This window comes from Homo sapiens, chromosome 10, assembly GCF_000001405.40.
Source record: "Homo sapiens chromosome 10, GRCh38.p14 Primary Assembly".
NCBI classification, from domain to species: domain Eukaryota; kingdom Metazoa; phylum Chordata; class Mammalia; order Primates; family Hominidae; genus Homo; species Homo sapiens.
This window is the reverse complement of record NC_000010.11, coordinates 73,886,582-73,905,722: the sequence shown is the minus strand read 5'-3', so window position 1 is coordinate 73,905,722 and position 19,141 is coordinate 73,886,582. Positions and strand designations below refer to the sequence as shown.

At 46.6% G+C, this 19,141-nt stretch overlaps 1 long non-coding RNA gene across 1 annotated transcript, besides 4 other annotated features; it reads left to right on the top strand.

Moving 5' to 3' along the window:
• LOC124902454 (uncharacterized) lies at positions 16,260-17,261 on the top strand. Its single transcript, XR_007062196.1, has 2 exons — positions 16,260-16,496; positions 17,054-17,261. It is a non-coding gene; the product is annotated as an uncharacterized LOC124902454 (long non-coding RNA).
• Positions 16,351-17,309: an enhancer, noted in NCBI's record as "H3K27ac-H3K4me1 hESC enhancer chr10:75648172-75649130 (GRCh37/hg19 assembly coordinates)". NCBI's record gives its function as "activates a minimal SCP1, AML or CMV promoter by ChIP-STARR-seq in primed H9 embryonic stem cells {active_cell/tissue: H9 hESC(primed)}" and the evidence as "EXISTENCE:reporter gene assay evidence [ECO:0000049][PMID:30033119]".
• Positions 16,815-16,894: an enhancer, noted in NCBI's record as "active region_3581". NCBI's record gives its function as "activates an Ori minimal core promoter by ATAC-STARR-seq in GM12878 lymphoblastoid cells {active_cell/tissue: GM12878}" and the evidence as "EXISTENCE:reporter gene assay evidence [ECO:0000049][PMID:35858748]".
• Positions 17,338-18,537: an enhancer, noted in NCBI's record as "CDK7 strongly-dependent group 2 enhancer chr10:75646944-75648143 (GRCh37/hg19 assembly coordinates)". NCBI's record gives its function as "activates an origin of replication core promoter dependent on BRD2, BRD4, P300/CBP, MED14 and CDK7 cofactors, with strong dependence on CDK7, by STARR-seq in HCT116 cells {active_cell/tissue: HCT116}" and the evidence as "EXISTENCE:reporter gene assay evidence [ECO:0000049][PMID:35650434]".
• Positions 17,456-18,174: an enhancer, noted in NCBI's record as "H3K27ac-H3K4me1 hESC enhancer chr10:75647307-75648025 (GRCh37/hg19 assembly coordinates)". NCBI's record gives its function as "activates a minimal SCP1, AML or CMV promoter by ChIP-STARR-seq in naive H9 embryonic stem cells {active_cell/tissue: H9 hESC(naive)}" and the evidence as "EXISTENCE:reporter gene assay evidence [ECO:0000049][PMID:30033119]".

Genomic DNA, 19,141 nt, shown 5'->3' with positions numbered 1-19,141 from the left:
CTCCTTTCTTATTCTGAATCCTCAGCTCCTCCCTTTTCCCGATCACCATCCATCCCCATCCTCAATCTATCTTGCCCACCCTCCTGCAGAAGGTGCTTCTTTTCTCTGGTTTGCTGAGCCTCTGAGGAGGGTTTGGAGGCAGCCACGTCCTGCAGAGGGGACAGTCTCCTTTGAGAAGGCTGCTAGAGGACTAAATGTATGAATATCTGTGGGAAGAGGGAGCAGGGATCCCTGGAGGCAGGTGTGTGTGCAGAGTGAATGGGAGGAACAGTATGTGGGTAATCTACATGGGCGTTCTTTGTTTACTCTGGAGACAGTGATGGTGGGGAATGTGGCAGGGACTAAAGAAAAGGAAGAGTGCCAGATGCAGTGGCTCACACCTGTAATCCCAACATTTTGGGAGGCCGAGGCAGGAGGATGGCTTGAGCCCAGGAGTATCAGACCAGTTTGGGCAACATAGTGAGACCTCGTCTCTATAATATATTTTTTAAAAATTAGCCAGAAGTGGTGGCACACACCTGTGGTCCCAACTACTCAGGAGGCTGAGGTGGGAGGATTGCTTGAGCTTGGGAGGTTGAGGTGGCGATGAACCTTGATCACACCACTGCACTCCAGCCTGGGCAATGAGACTCTGTCTCAAAAAATAAAAATAAAAAAGAAGTCTGTTGTCTCCAAGGGGACAATACAATCTTACAATTTATCCCTTGTTAAAGATAGATAATAATAATAATAACCAACTTTTATTTGCATTACATTCATTTTCTTTTTACATCTTAACACCTTTAAGGAAGGTACTATTAATGTCACCATTTTATGGATGAGAAAATGAAGGTTCACTGGGCTTAAGCAATTTCCACAAGGTTAAACTCCAGGGAAATGGAAGCACCAAGACTCACATGCAGACCTGGTTGACTCCAGGTTTGGAGAACTATCTCTGAGGCAGTATCAAATTCAATCAGGCTAGTGGAGGTGCTTGTCCTTCTAACTGGGAATCTTCCTACTTCTAACCCATGGTGACATCCCAGGATAGCTCCAGCTGTCCATCCAAGTCATGTCTGCCTTGATTCCTGCCTGCCCACCTTGAACCAGACTGATTAAAGTGTTCTTCCATTTGTCTAATGTAGCCAGCCACAGTTGTGTCTGCTGGGTCTAGTCAGAGAAGTGATCACTGGGCCTTCTGGCTGTGCTTATATATCTGTGTGGACTCCTGGAACCACCCATAGCCAGTCTTCCTTTTCCACAACTATTCACCCATATTTATATGATGGGGATACTCTAGGGTTCTTCTATGGGGAAATAACAATAGCATCTATTTATTGACAATGGCTTTTATTTAGCAGGCACTGGACTAACAGTTCTGTATGCATTATTTCATTTGATCCTCAGTGAAGGAGATGCAATATCATCCCCACTTTATGGATAAAGAAACTGAGGCACTGAGAGGTTAAATAACTTGTCCAAGATCACACAGCCAATACCTGGCAAATCAAACCCAGGTTTCCTGCTCCCAAGCCTGTGTTGATAATCATCACTAAGATGGCATTGTCTCTTTATCCTTCCCTGAAGGGGGAAAAAAAAAAAGACGAAAAAAAGCCCTGTTGAGTAGATGCCCAGGTATCTGAAATAATAAATATTCAGTAATGTTATCTTTGCCACACTTGTCTGATGATAAGAGTCACTTGGCTTGAAAGTTGAAGAAGTACAGATTTTCAGGTTACCCATTTGTAAATTCTGATTCTTTAGATGGGGCCTAGAAATCTGATTTTTTTTAAAGAGAGACAGCGTGTCAGTCTGTTACCCAGACTAGAGTGCAGTGATGCAATCATACCTTACTGCAGCCTTAAACCCCTTGGCTCAAGCAGTCCTCCTACCTCAGCCTCCCTAGTAGCTGGGACCACAGGTATGCACCATTATGCCCTGTTATTTTTTTAATTTTTGTAGAGATGAGGTCTCTCTATGTTGTCCAGGCTGGTCTTGAACTCCTGGCCTCAAGTGAAGGAATCTGATAGGAGGGAATCTGAAGGAACCTTAATAGGTGACCCAGAGGATTCTCATCACCAAACAAGTGGGGAAAATGTCAGCCAATGCATCATATATCTAGGGAGTGTTGTTTTATTTTTTTCACCCAACTAAACTACAAACTATCTATCTACTGGGGCTTCTACTTCAACCCCATCCTTTGAGATGGGGGCCGGAGGAGAACACAGAGGTGGGGATGGCCCGGGACTACAAGGCAGGTCTTTGGGCAGCATTCCCCAGACAGGGATGAATCAAGGAAAGGGATGTATACCTGAGAGCCTTGTGCCAACCAAACCACCTCGAGGCGACTTTTCTAGAGAATCTGTTCTCAGAAAGTTAATTGCTTCAGCACTTTTGTACTTGTTCTTTTTTTAGATTCCTAGTGATAGTTTTATTTTTTAAATGCCAAACAAATGGCTAAGTGGAGGGACTTTTCCATATAGACTAAAAGAGCTTGGAGGCCAGGTGCAGTGGCTCAACTGTAATCCTAGCACTTTGGGAGGCCAAGGCAGGTGGATTGCATGAGCTCAGGAGTTCAAGACCGCCTGGGCAACATGGTGAAACCCTGTCTCTACTAAAATTTAAAAAAAAAAAAAATCAGCTGGACATGGTAGCATGCGTCTGTGGTCCCAGCTACTCAGGAGGCTGAGGCACAAGAATTGCTTGAACCCGGGAGGCAGAGGTTGCAGTGAGCCAAGAGCATGCCACTGCACTCTAGCCTGGGTGACATAGTGAGACTCTGTCTCCAAAAAAAAAAAAAAAAAAGAGCTTGGAGACCCAGAGGAACCCTCAAAGTCATAGCAGTGAATAAAAAATTGGCTCCCCAAGACCTCAGGAAAATGAAGGGAAATTAAGTAGCGGTTAGAACAAAGCAGAGTTGAGAATAGCTGTACCTACTAGTACCTGTCTATCTGTGATGTTTCCTCTCAGTTCCCGTACTGGCCCTCCTCTGAGCTTCTCAAGGTCAGTTTTTGGTTTTGTTTTTATTTCTAAGGTCTTCTGATTCTACCTGCATAGAATTGGGTTTCCAGAGCATTATGCTTTGCAGGGAGAGTAGACCCAGCAGCTTGTGTGATGACCACAATATTGCATCTTCAGTCAAAGAGGAAGCGACAGTGACACTGTCCCCATGCAGACTTTGCTCCACAGTGCAGCAGTGTCCTGAAGATTCATTCAGTCTGTATCATAGCAGTCAGCTTGTTCTGTTTGTAAAGGGAATTCTACCCTAAGTTCTCAAAAGGACTAAGCTCAACTCAAACTGTTCATTTCATCCAATCAACCAAAAAGGACCTTCAGACACCTAAGGACATGCCTCATGCGGTGCTAGGCACTGAGGGTACACAGGAGAACAGGGCAAGATTCCTGCCCTGAAGACACATGAAATCTGTTAGGAAGACAAAATGAATTTACATGAAACAATGAAAAAGTCTTTAAACAGGATGGCAACTATAAAGAAAAAATAAACAGAAAATAACAAGTGTTGGTGATCATGTGGAGAGAGTGGAATCCTTGTGCACTGTTGGTGGGATTGTAAAATTGTGCAGCTGATATATGGCAGTTCCTCAAAAAATCAGAACTACCAGATGATCCAGCAACTCCACTTCTAGATATAGAAGTAAAAGCAGGGTCTTGATGAGAGATTTGCATACCTTTGTTCATAGCAGCACTGTTCACAATAGCCAAGAGGGGGAAGCAACCCAAATGTCCACGCAGATAAATGGATAAACAAAATGCAGCATATCTACACATGGAATATTAGTCTTAAAAAGGAACGAAATCCCATCACATGCTAAAACTTCAATAAACCCTGAAGACAGCATAGTAAGTGAAATAAGCTGGTCACAAAAAGGCAAATACTGTATAATTCCACTTAAATCTACTTATATTTTATATAATAGTCAAATTCATACAAACAGAAAGTAGAATGGTGGTTGCCAGAGGCTGAGGAAGGGGGAAATGATGAGTTATTGTTCAATGGGTGGGTATACAGCTTCAGTTTTACAAAATGTAAAAGTTCTGGACCAGACGCGGTGGCTCATGCCTGTAATCCCAGCACTTTGGGAGGCAGAGTGAGACCCCGTCTTGAAAAAAAAAGGTTCTGGAGATTGGTTGCACAACAAGCGAAATGTACTAAACACTACTGAACTGCACACATAAAAAATTATAAAGATGGTAAATATTATGTAATTTTTACCAAGATTTTTGTAAAAGTTGTTAATCATTAAGCAGCCTATCAGCCACAAACGCAGCAGAAGTTCAGAGACTGGAGACACTAAAGTTAGAGATTTCCCGGACTAATCTTTTTTTTGGGCGGGGAGGGGAACAGGGTCTCACACTGTCACCCAGGTTGGTGTGCAATGGCGCTGTCTTGGCTCATTGCAACCTCTGCCTCCCAGGATCAAGCAATTCTCCTGCTTAGCCTCTTGAGTAGCTGGGACTACAGGCACCCGCCACCACACCTGGCTAGTTTTTCTATTTTTGGTAGAGAACAAGGGGTTTCACCATGTTGCCCAAGCTGGTCTTGAACTCCTGAGCTCAAGCAATCTGCCCACCTTGGCCTCTCAAAGTGCTGGGATTACAGGCATGAACCACCATGCCTGGCTTCCTGAACAAATCTTTTTTTTTTTTTTTTTTTGAGACAGAGTCTTGCTCTGTCACCCAGGCTGGAGTGCAGTAGCATGATCTCAGCTCACTGCAGCCTCCATCTCCAGGTTCAAGCATTTCTCCTGCCTCAGCCTCCATCTCCAGGTTCAAGCATTTCTCCTGCCTCAGCCTCCTGAGTAGCTAGAATTACAGGCTTACACCACCACATCCAGCCACTTTTTGTATTTTTAGTAGAGACGGGATTCACCATGTTGGCCAGGCTGGTCTCAAACTCCTGACCTCAAGTAATCCACCCACCTCAGCCTCCCAAAGTGCTGGGATTACAGGTGTGAGCCACCGCGCTCACCCATGAACAAATCTTAAAAGATGGGTGAGGTTGGGATTGGCAGAGGGCAGGAAACAAGAATTCCAGGTAAGACCCCTGGAAAGAGACAGGAGCTAGGAATAAACATTTTTACGTGTTGTGGAGAATAAACCTGTATGTATTTAAGTCTCTCTCTGTGTGTGTGTGTGTGTGTGTGTAGATGTATGCACAAGCAGTGAGAAGTCTGGCTTGATTAGGGAAGGTTTACATTGCATGAGAGCTAAGTTCAACTAGAGTGAGGTCAGATTATAAAAGATCTTACTGCAGCTAGAAGTGTGCACTTGATTCCATAGACTCCAGAAAGGTACTGCAGGTTCTTGAGCAAGGGTGTGCTTAAGTTTAGTAAAACTGAAAATCTCCATCAATCTCAGTTGAAATATAGGAAGCAAAAGACAGTGATTTGAAATTTGTCTGTGCTTGGGCTGTGGGGAGCATGAACCCCAGAATCTTGGTGCAGTAATGGAATTGGGAATTGAAATGAGAGGACTCCGAGAGAGGAAGTGAGAGTGCAACGGAAGGCATGAGGACTTGTACAGCTGTCATCTTTCCTATCTTTAGGGGCTTTTGATTTTCCAAACTTGGAAAGTCATGTGCTTTGCTTTAGAAAGAGTCTTCGAGGCCTGGCACGGTGGCTCACGCCTATAATCCCAGCACTGTGGGAGGCCAAGGCAGGCAGATCACCTGAGGTCAGGAGCTCGAGACCAGCCTGACCAACATGGTGAAACCCCATCTCTACTAAAAATACAAAAAATTAGCCGGCCGTGGTGGCAGGTGGCTGTATTCCCAGCTACTTGGGAGGCTGAGACATGAGAATCACTTGAAACGGGGAGGCAGAGGTTGCAGTGAGCTGAGATGGTGCCACTGCACTTCAGCCTGGGAAACAGCAAAACTGTGTCTAAAAAAAAAAAAAAAAAAAAAAAAAGGAAGTCTTAGAAAGTTCCTTTAAAGTGCTGTACCATGAAATCCATATTTGAAGGCCAGTAGTCTCCTGGATTGGAGTGGGAAGAACCGGGGGTAGAAAGCCCCACTGCCCAATGCCAGTAGCACCTGTTGAGTCCAAAGGCCATATCTGCGAGCATGAGCTGAAGCTTCCTCTTGAGGAAAGGAGTGACTGCCGTGGTGAAGGCTGTGGTTTCAGAGTCAGAGGATAGAGCTCCATTCCTGGCTTGGTGGCTGACTCCATCCATGAACCTGGCTGAGTCACTTCCCTCCATATGCCTGTTTTCCCTTCTGTGGAATGCAGCAGAACGTCTTTTCCACCTGCTTTCACAGAAGACAGAATCAGCTAAAAGAAAAAGAAATTTTCATCAGGTACTTGTAAGCAAAGGGGGTGAGGCCTGGGCTGAAGCAAAGCCTGGGACGTCTGTAGCCCATAGGGGCCAGCTTTGACATGAACATGGGGGCCAGGTTTGACGTGGCCTGCTCTTGACATCAGAAGGCCATGGAGAGGATGTAACTATTAAACAACATAAACAAATGTTACCCCAGAGAGCCTGGGTTCTGGGAATATGAACAGGGACTCCTGACCAAAATTCCAGGTCTCCAAGTTCCCCTTGAGGAGTCATGAGGATTAGACAGGGTGAATCACCACACCCAGTGTCTGTCTTGGAGACCTAAACCCAGATATGAACTTCAGCAAAGGAAGGGGCTGATTCAAATAGCATGGGGGTTGTAGCCAGAGCAATATAAGATGTTCCCCTGGGTCCTTATGGGACCAAGAAACAGTTTTGCCCAAGACTTTGGATGCTGTTCTAGTTCTGAGGTCAGTGGCAGGTCAAAGCCATAGCTGGCCTCCATGGAGTCAGCACAGTAGCCTCTGGTCTGGAAGACTATGTGGAAAAAGAAGTTCAGAAGAGTGTGGGCTCAGAAATAGAGTCAGTATTCTCCCTAGAGCCTGTATTATTTCTCAGTCCAACCCTACATAAGTGGAAGGCAGAGAGATAGCCAGCTCTTCAGAGCTTGGAAGAAACCAGAGGGTGCAGGAGAAAGAACCATGTTGGCTGCTCAGCTGCAAGGGTGATTTTGCCACCACAGGGAAACACCAGCTCTCAGAGCTGGGAGAGGTGGGGTCTCAGGGGGAGAAGCAGACCCTGGAGCCTGAAACACTCAGGCATCTGGAGTATTGTGTTCAAAAACGATCTCACCTATGACCTCTCACCCATTAGGATGGCTATTATCAAAAGTAAAAAGAAAAGAAAAAGTGTTGGTGGTCGGGCTTAGTGGCTCACACCTGTAATCCCAGTACTTTATTTTCTTTTTGAGATGGAGTCTCGCTGTGTCACCGAGGCTGGAGTGCAGTGACAAAATCTCAGCTAATCGGAACCTCCACCTCCCAGGTTCAATTGATTCTCATGCCTCAGCCTCCCAAGTAGCTGGGATTACAGATGCACACCACCACACCCAGCTAATTTTTGGATTTTTAATAGAGACGGGGTTTCACCATGTTGGCCAGGCTGGTCTTGAGCTCCTGACCTCAAGTGATCCGCCCACCTTGGTCTCCCAAAGTGCTGGGATTACAGGTGTGCGCCACCGTGCCTGGCCTCAATCCCAGTACTTGAGGAGGCCAAGGTGGGAGGATCACTTGAGCCTAGGAGTTTGAAGCTGCGGTGAACTATGATCATGCCACTGCACTCTGGCTTGGGTGACAGAGTAAGACCCCGTCTCAAAAAAAAAAAAAAAAAAAAGGGCACTGGTGGGAATATGGAGAAATTGGAACTCTTGTGCATTGCTGGTGGGAATGTAAAATGATGCAGCCACTGTTGAAAACATTTTGGTAGTTCCTAAAAAAGTTAAACATAGAATTACCATATGATCAAGCAATTCTGCTCCTAGGTATCTACCCAAAAGAATTGAAAGCAGGAACTCAAACAGATATTTTTATACCCATGTTCATAGCAGCATTATTCACAACAGCCAAAAGGTGGAAGCAACCCAAGTGTCCATCAATGGATGAATGGATAAACAAAGCTTGGCATATACATATATGACATATTATTTAGTCTTAAAAAGGAAGGAAATTCTGGGCTGGGCACAGTGCTTCATGCCTGTAATCCCAGCACTTTGGGAAGCCAAGGCAGGCGGATCACTTGAGGTCAGGAATTCAAGACCAGCCTGGCCAACATGGTAAAACCCTGTCTCTACTAAAAATACAAAAATTAGCTGGCCATGGTGGTACACACCTGTAATCCCAGCTACTCAGGAGGCTGAGGCAGGAGAACGGCTTGAACCTGGGAGGCAGAAGTTGCAGTGAGCCAAGATCACGCCACGGCACTTCAGTCTGGGTGACAGAGCAAGACTCTGTCTCAAAAAAAAAAAAAAAAAAAAAAAAAACCAGGAAATTCTGATACCTGCTACAACATGGATGACCCTTGAAAACATTATGCTAAGTGCAATAAGCCAGACACAGAAGGCCACATATTGTATAATTCCACTTACATGAGGTACTTAACATAGGCAAATTTATAGAGACAGAAAATAGAATGGTGGTTAGAGGGGGTGAGGATGAAGGGGAATGGAAGTTATTATTTACAGGTGGAGGTTCTGTCTGGGATAATGAAAAAGTTCTGGAATGTGTATCAGTGATTTTTACACAACAATGTGAATGTATTTAATGTCACTGAAATATACATTTTAAAATAGTTAAAAAGGTAAATTTTGGCTAGGTGTGGTGGCTTACACATGTAATCCCAGCACTTTGGGAGGCTGAGGTGGGAGGATTGCTTGAGGCCAGGAGCTCAAAACCAGCCTGGGCAACATAGTGAGCAAAACCCTGTCTTTACAAAAAATTTAAAAAATTAGCCAGATGTGGAGGATTGTTTGAGCCTGGGAGTTTTCTTTGTTTGTTTGTTTGGTTGGTTTTTGTTTTGTTTTGTTTTGTTTCTGTTTTTGAGACAGAGTCTCATTCTGTAGCCCAAGCTGGACTGCAGTGGCACGATCTCGTCTCACTGCAATGTCCACCTCCTGGGCTCAAGCAATTCTTATGCCTCAGCCTCCCGAGTAGCTGGGACTACAGACGCATGCCACCATGCCCAGCTAATTTTTTGTATTTTAGTAGAGAAATACATGTTTCACCATGTTGCCCAGGGTGGTCTCGAACTCCTGTGCTCAGGCGATCCACCCACCTTGGCCTCCCAAAGTGCTGGGATTACAGGTGTGAGCCACTGTGCCCGGCCAAGCCCAGGAGTTTGAGGCTTGATTGCGCCACTGCATTCCAGCCTAGGCAACAGAGTGAGACTCTGTCTAAAAAATAATAATAATAATAAATAATAATAAATAAATAAAAAGTAGGGCAGGGTAGGTGGCAGGCACGGTGGCTCACCCCTGTAATCCCAGCACTTTGGGAGGCTGAGGTAGGTGGGTTGCTTGAGCCCAGGAGCTCGAGACCAGCCTGGGCAACATAGTGAAACTCCATTTCTACAAAAAATTAGCCAGGCATGGTGGCACATACCTGTGGTCCCAGCTACCCAGGAGACAGAAGTGGGAGGATCACTTGACCCCCAGAGGTTGAGGCTTCAGTGAGCCATGATCATGCCATTGCACTCCAGCCTGGGTGACAGAGTGAGAATCTGTCTCAAAAAAAAGTAAATTTTATGTTATGTATAATTTACCACAATAAAATAAATAATAATTTTTAAAATGGTAAATTTTGGCTGGGTACAGTGGCTCATGCCTGTAATCCCAGCACTTTGGGAGGCCGAGGTGGGTGGATCACCTAAGGTCAGGAGTTCAAGACTAGCCTGGCCAACATGGTGAAAACCCTGTATCTACTAAAAATACAAAAATTAGCCAAGCATGGTGGTGGATGCCTGTAATTCCAGCTACTTGGGAGGCTGAGGCAGGAGAATCTCTTGAACCTGGGAGGCAGACGTTGCAGTGAGTCAAGATGGTGCCACTATGCTCCAGCCTGGGCAACAGTGCCTGAGACTTCATCTCAAAAAATAAAAATAAAATAAAATAAAATAAAATGGTAAATTTTATGTTGATATATTTTGCTACAAAAAAAGTTACCCAAAACAAAAGGATCCCACAACAGAAGGATCTAGCAGACTCTGAGACTGAGACTCAGAGACGTGAGAAGACAGCAGCAACGACATTCAGTGATGTGAACTGAGATGGGGGTGGGGACTGGGATGGAGATAAAGAACCTGCTGGCAAGGGACAAGGATCAAGTGTGAGTGTTAGAGATGAAAGAGAAGTTGACCCAGCTGGGCACTATGGCTCACACCTGTAATCCTAGCACTTTGGGAGGCCAAGGCGGGTGGATCACGAGGTCAGGAGATCGAGACTATCCTGGCTAACACGGTGAAACCCTGTCTCTACTAAAAATGCAAAATATTAGCCGGGCGTGGTGGCGGGCGCCTGTAGTCCCAGCTACTTGGGAGGCTGAGCCAGGAGAATGGCGTGAACCCGGGAGGTGGAGCTTGCAGTGAGCCGAGATTGCACCACTGCATTCCAGTCTGGGGGACAGAGTGAGACTCCGTCTCAAAAAAAAAAAAAAAGAAAGAAAGAGAAGTTGACTCAAATGGAGTTCTGCTACGGATAGGGCTGACAATTTTCACCTTTCTTCATAATTGCCTTCTCTGTCTCCTGCCCCCTCCACACGGGGTGGCCATGTGTATGCACCTCATTTTAATTATTTTTTCTTTAGCAATTTGAAAGCAAGACATTGAGACACTTCACCCCAAACACTTCAGTTTATATCTGTTAAGAACAAAAATTTTCTCATAAATAACCACAATAATATCACATCTAATACAATTTAACATTGAGTATGGAGAAAGAAATGGGGACTGGCAGGTCTAATTTTAAAAATGAACTTTGAGTCTGAGTCTTTTTTTCTTTGGCAGGCACATGGATTTCTGTGTTTATCACCCACAGGGTTTGCGGTAGGATGCTTCTGAGACCTTCTTCCACTGGCCACTGGTCAGTCCGCAGTTGCCCTCTGAGGCTTCCTGTCTCCTTTTAGAGCTGACAGACACCACAGTGAGTCAGTTCTGCCAAGGCTTGACTCATTTTTAACCCAGTTTTGGTGATCAAACACAATACCCTGGAATTTGGCACTACAGCTCAAAAGGTATGGCGGGCCCATGGTTAGAAGACTGGGCTCCAGCTGCTTCCTGTTGCCCCATCTCATTTCTTTATAAAGATTGGAGTGAACTGCAATTAAAGTCAGAGAGACTTGGGTTGAAACTCTGGCTCAAACTCTTGTTAGCTGTGCTACCTTAAACACATAAGCCGTTAACCTCCATAAGCCATGGTTTCCTCTGTGAGATGGGGCTATCAAGCTCCATAGCATTGCTGTGGGGATAAGATAGCTGGTGCATGAAGAGCTTCTTGGCACTCTGCTTGTCATGAGGGAATTCCCCAGTAAGCTAAGGTTATTGTTATCACCACTACTATTAGAACCCCGAGATCCTTTGTTTTGCTCACTCTGTTACCCATGCTGGTTTTGAACTCATGGCTTCACAAGGGCAACGGAGACCTATATGGGGAGCTTCAGCCACCCAGGCTCCTGTAGTGCTGGATTTAAAGCTGGAAGACCTGAATCTGATCTAGTTTCCCCCATTTACTAGCTGTGTGGCCTTAGGCATTTTTCACAAGTCTCAGTTTTCTCGTGTGTAAGATAGGATGATTATGTAAAGTTGTAAATGTCAAATGAAATAATGTGTGCAAAAGCTTTATAAATAGCCAAAACTAATAATAAAAAAAGGCATAGATGCACAGATGTACAAGGTACTCAGGATCAGAAGCAAAGACATACCTGGGCCAAGGTTAGGGTCAAGATGGGAATCAAAGCCAGGCATGGTGGCACATCTGTAGTCCCAGCTACTCAGGAGGTTGAGGCAGGAGGATCACTTGAGGACAGGAGTTTGAAACTGGCCTGGGCAACATAGCAAGATCCAGTCTCCAAACATTTTTTTAAAATATGTATATATGGGAATCAAGGTTGGGATTGCTGGGATCGGCACCAGGGCTGTAAAAGCAATTGTGATCAAGATCAGGGTTGGCACTGGGGTCAAACAAAGCTTTGGGCGAGGACAGGGAAAGTATAAGGAGCAAGGTCACAGCAGGGAGTTGGGTGGGGTTTTTGGGTCAGGATAGGAATCCAAACTGGGAGGTGCCCACTGTCTGAGCCCCGAGGGGGTACAGTAGGACTGTGTAGTGACTCAGCGGCGGCTACACTGCCTTGGTTAAGGCTCTAATCCGATGATCTTAGTTTGGGGGAAAGTAGAGCGTGGGATTTAAAAAATCCTTGGAGATCTGCAAAAGTACAGGCCTTTGGCAAGTCCGTTCCATTGGAGTAGTGCAACCATCTCATTTCCTTCATCCTTCTTCCCCACCCCCAGTAGTTAAGTCGGATCAAGTATTAGCCTATCTCCAGGGACATCCTGCACTGTGCTGGTCCTCATGGCTCTGACCATCCCTCTTCCATCCATCATCCATTATCCGTCATCCACCTAGCATCATTTATCCATCAACCCAAGATGTACTGAGTACTTACTATGTGTCCAGCACTGTGCTAGACTCTGGGGATCCAGCAATGATAAAGGCAAGCCCATAACCTGTCCTCGTGGAGCTTCAATTCAGAGGGGAGCCAGATAATACAATGGATTTCCACCTTCTGCATTTATGGGAATAGTGGCAGATTCTAAAATCAGTCTGGGACATAAAGATAGCCAACTTATTCCTGCAAATCCCTTACATTACCAGGACCTAGGCATTCAGAAGCACAAAAGCCGAGAAATAACATCTATTTCTCTTTGTACTTTGGTTGTGACCCTGGGGCAGTAGCTGTCAAGATCTGGCTTTAACGGTGGCATGTGACTCTAAATAAAGGAATTTCTTTGTTTTGGGCTTTTTCAGCTGAGTGTGTGGTCGGGTTTGAGTAAGTAAACTGCATTCATGATGCAACCACAGTGTAAATACAAATTCAACCAATATGTAAGGAATGATAGTGAATATGCTAAGAAGGAATACAATGGCCTGTGCGAATGTACAGCAGAGGGACATAACCTGGTGAGGGGCGGAGGAGCGGATGAAGTGGAATATCCCACTGAGGAGGTGACATTGACACTGAATCCTGAAGAATGGCCACGAGGGAGCCTGTCGTAAGGGGAAAAAGAACTTCCCAGGCAGAGGAGTTGACATGAGGCAGAAAGGAACTCAGAGCACTGTAGGAACTGAAAGCCAGTCAGGTACAAGACGTCAAAGAGATAACGAAGGGCCTCCTCTCATCAGTCCTCAAAGTGAGGCTCTATTTCACATGCTCTGACACAGTGCACTTAACTGCATAGAGGGAAGGCAGTCTGAGATTCAGGGAGCTAAATAATTCAGTTGCAGGGCTAGAGAAACAAAAATAATCAGTCAACATTTTTTCTTTTTTTCTTTTTTTTTTTTCTGGAGACAGGGTCTCACTGTGTCACCCAGGCTAGAGTATAATCTCAGCTCACTGCAGCCTCGACCTCCCAGACGGGTGATCCTCCCACTTCAGCCTCCAGAGTAGCTGGGACTACAGGAACGCACCACTATGACTGGCTAGTTTTGTACTCTTTTCTTCTTCTTCTTTTTGAAGAGATGGTTTCACCACATTGCGCAGGCTGGTCTTGAACTTCTGGACTCAAGCAATCCTCCGAATTAGCCTCCCAAAGTGCTGGGATTATAGGCATGAGCCACTGTGCCCAGCAAGTCAACATATTTTGGAATCACTGGGCTAGCTGTATCATGTAATGCATAGAAGAATAGGAAACAAACTATTGGAAACAGAGACAGTGGGATTCAGAGCTGTAGTGGAGTAGACTACACACAGACATAAACCAGGAGTCGTGAACGTGAGCACCCACGAAGCTGTACAGGTAATATAAAGAGGGAAGCAGGCTGAGTGCAGTTCTTGACTTTCCTAAAGGAGCAACTGCTGCTCAGCTTTCACTGATTATTGCCACGTGGGAGCTGAAGACCAGTTTTGCTAGGTCTTCTGTATTGTAGCAGATCCTGTCAGTGCCAGCTTCCTCTGGCCTCTGGAGCCCACTCTTCCCTCCTGCACAGTAGGCTGGAAGTTCCCCAGGAGTTACCACTGCCATTACCCTTCCTCCCCTACACCACATCAGCGCCCAACCAGTGACTGATGAGTTTGGTGGATAAATACCCTAATGCCCTTGCCTCTCAGGTGAGAAAACTTTGAGATACATGTTGGACACTTTTCCCAGAGTTCTCCAGGAAAATTAAGCTCCAGCTGCCCATATACTCCTTCCTTGAAACCTCACCCTTATTGACTGTCTCAATTCCTTTCTGTAATTTTTTTTTTCTTCAGACGGAGTCTTGCTCTGTCATCCAGACTGGAGTGCAGTGGCGTGATCTCAGCTCGCTGCCACCTCCGTCTCCCAGATTCGAGCGATTCTCCTGTCTCAGCCTCCGAAGTAGCTGGGATTACAGGTGCCCGTCACCAGGCCTGGCTAATTTTTGTATTTTTTGTAGACACAGTGTTTTGCCATGTTGGCCGGGCTGCTCTCAAACTCCTGACCTCAAATGATCTGCCCACCTTGGTCTCCCAAAGTGCTGGGATTACAGGAGTGAGCCACTGCACTTGGCCTTTTTTTTTTTTTTTTTTTTTTGAGGCACATTCTCACTCTGTTGCCCAGGCTGGAGTGCAGTGGTGCAATCACAGCTCCCAGGCTCAAGCAATTCTCCTACCTCAGCCTCCCAAGTAGCTGGAACTACAAGCATGTGCTACCACGCCCAGCTAATTTTTAAATGTTTTTGTAGAGACAGGGTCTCACTATGTTGCCCAGCTTGTCTCAAACTTCTGGGCTCAAGCGAGCCTCCTGCCTTGGCCTCTCAAAGTGCTCGAATTACAGGCATGAACCTCTGCACCCAGCTCCCACTTTCTTTCTCTGTCTCACTTCCCCACTCCCTTACTGCAGTTTCCTGGAATTAACTCCCAAATAAACTACTTGGTACTGAACCCCCCTCCCAAATAAACTACTTGGTACTGAAGCCTTGTAGCAGGGTCTGCTTCTGAGAAAAATCAACCTAAGGACACCAAATGTTAAGATATTTGAAATCTGGGTTTGTTTTGTTTTGATTTTGGTTTTGTTAGAGACAGGGTCTCATTCTGTCACGAAGGCTGGAGTGTAGTGGCACAATCACAGCTCACTGCAGCCTCGACTTCCTGGCTCAAGGGATGCTCCTCCCAAGTAGCTAGAATTATAGGCACGCACTACTGCACTTGGCTAATTTTTTTTTTTTTGGTAGAGGTGGGGTCTTGCTATGTTGCCCAGGCTGGTCTTGAACTCCTCACCTCAAGCGATATTTCTGCCTCGGCCTCCCAAAGTGCTGGAAGTGCAGGTATGAGCCACTATGCCCAGCTGAAACCTGGATTTTTTAATGTTAAATTTTCCCAATTAAAACAGTACATGTTAACAAAATCAGGTCTGGGGTCTACATTTGACCAACAGACCATCAGTTTGGGATTCTGACATAAGCTAATACTTCATCTGTCTTTCTTATAGTAACCACCCAGCAAAGGAACACACGTACTAAAGAAGGTGTTTTAGAAAAAGCTGGAGGATGGCCAGGTGCGGTGGCTCACACCAGTAATCCCAGCAATTTGGGAGCCCGAGGTGGGTGGATCATCTGAGGTCAGGAGTTCAAGACCAGCCTGGCCGCTTTTACCAAAAAATACAAATATTAGCTGGGTGTGGTGGTAGGCACCTGTAGTCCTAGCTACTCAAGAGGCTGAAGCATGAGAATCGCTTGAGCCTGGGAGAAGGAGATTGCAGTGAGCCAAGATCATCAGGCCACTGCACTCCAGCCTGGGCAACAGAGTGAGACTCTGTCTCAAAAAAAAAAAAAAAAAAAAGAAAGAGCTGGATGAGGCCAGGCGTGGTGGCTCACATCTGTAATCCCAGCACTTTGGGAGGACAAAGCAGGAGGATCATTTGAGGTCAGGAGTTCAAGACCAGCCTGGCCAACATGGTGAAACCCTGTCTCTACTAAAAATACAAAAAATTAGTCAGGCATGGTGGCGTGTGCCTGTAATCCCAGCTCCTCAGGAGGCTGAGGAGAATCACAAGAATCACTTGGGCCTGGGAAGTGGAGGTTGCAGTGAGCCAAGATCACGCCACTGCATTCCAGTTGGGGCGACAGAGGGAGATGATGAGACAAAGAAAAGGGAAGGGAAGGGAAGGGAAGGGAAGGGGAGGAGAAGGGAGGGAAGGGGAGGAGAAGGGAGGGGAGGGGAGGGGAAGGGAAGGGGAGGGAAGGGAAGGGAAGGAAAGGAAAAGAAAAGAAAAAGAGAAAGAAAGAAGGAAAGAAAAGAAAACAAAAGAGCTGGATGAGAAAGTTCTAAAGGTAGAGACTCGTGCCACATGCAAATGGCGACTTAACATCGGGTCAATTAGAGAAGGACTAGGCAATGATGAGTGTTCTGCTAGAGCGGCAAGAAATGCCCGTGGCTCCCTGCTGCAAGCTTCCTCATTTGAATCAGGCCTTGGCAGCCACCACACCCACCAGGGTAAGTCATATGAAGGCCCCATGGGAAATCCCAGAGCCTAGCTAGGCCCAGTGGCCCACAGGCAGGCACTCCAGCAGCTGCACACTAAACTGGTTCTGTAGTCACAATGACAAGCCAGGGCCTGCTCGTCACAGGGTCCTCAGAATCAGGGTTTTCCGGTACCCAGTCCACAACCTTCCCTGGGGCCACAGTTGCAGCTGCTGTTCCCTGTGATATTAGCTCAGCTCACCTGGCCTCTTGGCACGAGGGAAGTTCCCAAGAGCGCAGGGGTGAGGACCTGGTCGAGGGAGCAGTAAGCCCCCTCCTCTGGCACCTCTAGCCAAGCCAGCTTTCTAGGTAGTCATCCAATTCAGCCACACAAAGTGCTGACAGGAGGAACTGTCATCCTGGGGCTGCATAAAGGAAGATAGGCCAGACCCTGGAGGGCAGAGGGCTGCACCTGGCTGGGATGCCCAGACGGGCCCATGGGTGACAGACAGCACCTTATGCCCCAAGCTCAGTTTCTAGCAGTGTTTGCAGAGCCTGTGCTATTTTAGGTTTCTTTGTCATCATTGCAGGCAAACTGGACTGGAGGAGTCTGATTAGAAGAGAAAGAACCGGTTTAACAGAGCTAGGGTGATGGGGGTTGCTTCCCGGAGCTGGCACCATAGCACCAGGCAGAAGAGCGGGTGTCAATGCTTCCGAGGCTCAAGACTGGTTTAAGATTATGGCATTGGGTTTCAGAGCAACTTGTCAGAATAAAGGAGGCAAAGAGGAGGACTTTGAGCTTCAGGAGCCAGAGGCTATAATTTCTGTCTCAGGAATAATGATGACAACAATAATACCCTTATTATAAATGTGCTTTATAATATACAAGATACCTTCATAGACATTATCTCATTTGATCCTTACTGCAGCCCTATGAGGCAAGCAGATATTCTTCATCGCATCTTAAATATAAGGAATCTAAGTCTCACCCAGGTAAGTGACTTGCCCAAGGTCACAGTCTTAAGAAAGTGGCAATGGCAGGGCCTGCATCAATGTAGAAAGGGGTTTGGGGAACCTAGACCTGCATAGCTAGAGGTCTTTGCAGGAAGAAAGGAACTCAGAGAATGAATGGGGAGCCCTGGCCTTCTGCTGATGGCCCCAGGAAATATGGGGCTTCATGGCTCTGTGGCCTGAGAAGTGACCCCATACACAGCCTGCTAGTGGTCTGGGCATGCAGGGCCATCACAGCGGGCCCCCAGGCAGCTTCATCTCCTCTCTTGGCTGGCGGGTGGGAAGGGTTTTTCTGTTCCCCTAATGCCGCCCCCTGAGTCAGCTCTCTGGCATTGCCCTGGCATGTCCTGGGCCCCACGCCCAGGCAGTGAGGAGGTGCTGGCAGATTGCCCAGGGAATGCTGCTGTCTTAACTTAAGCCAAATCCTAATTACGACCCCCTTCCCGGAGGCAACCCAATAATAGCTGCATTGGGGGCTGTAACTTGTAGGCACAGGGTGAGTCTCCCCTGCCCCTTGGGCTTTCTGGCACAGGTGTCACTGGGCACCCACCTTTACCTGACGGCTGCAGCCCTGGAGGGAATGCAGGGAACAAATCCATTTTATAGACTTTGGCTGAGCCAGGCTCCCACCCCAGGGCCCTGCTTGGGTTTCTGGTCACATCCAAATAGCTACGGAGGGAGTTGCTTTTGGACAGAATGGAGGAAAACAGAGCCAAGACTCCAGCCTGAAGCCGCCTCAGCTGTTTCTGGGGCTCTGACTCAGAAGCTGCTTCTCAGGAATGTGGAGCACTGGGGCCTCTGAGACCCTTGTCCAGGCACAGCGGAATGAACAACTGGGTGGAGGGGATGTTTCACTCTTCTCTGTCTTTTCTGAAAACACCCGCACACAGAAACTCACCACTGGGCAGGCTGAGAGCTCCTCCAGGAAGGAAGCCTTCCCGGACTCCCTCAGACCCCAGGGATCTATCCCTGGAAATGGCCACGGGCAGCCACAACTTGCACTTAGAAAAATGCGGCACTGCACGGGAGTCTGTCTCTATCCCTCTGTATCTTATCTCCCCAACTCTGTTGTGACTTCCTTGACCTCATGCTTCTGAGTGAAAAAGAGTGCCCTGAATATCACATTCATTTGACAAACATGTTGACTGACAGATAATCTGAGAAAAAGGAAGAAATAAATAAACAAAAAGAGGCAAAGATAAATCAGTGAGAAAGTAAGCAGGCAGATCACAACCCAAAGTCTGGGGAATCTGCTTCACTTCCCAAGCAAAGCTCCCAGGCCACCTGGAGAAGGAAGAGCAGGAAGGCTGTGTCGAGGTGGCCTGGTACTTCCTTGTCCCCAGCACCCACTCCAGCCCCAGATGCCCTCAGATCTACCAGAAGACACTGGAGATCCTTATACCTCCTGAAAGGAGGGGTTCTGCAGTGATTCTCCAAATGTGGATGATTTTCTTTTCTCTGCTTCTGGCCTTACTTCCTTGCCCTAAAGCAAGTAGGTGTCTCATGGGATAATTCACAGTGAAATGAGACATAGAGAGAACTAACCCTGGAGGAGAAATCATGTCAGCAGTTTATCACACAATGCATTGATTTTAGATTTGTCTGTGTACCTCATTAGATCATAAGAGCTGGGAGAGTAGAGAAGGGAGGTCTTGTTCACCAAACTA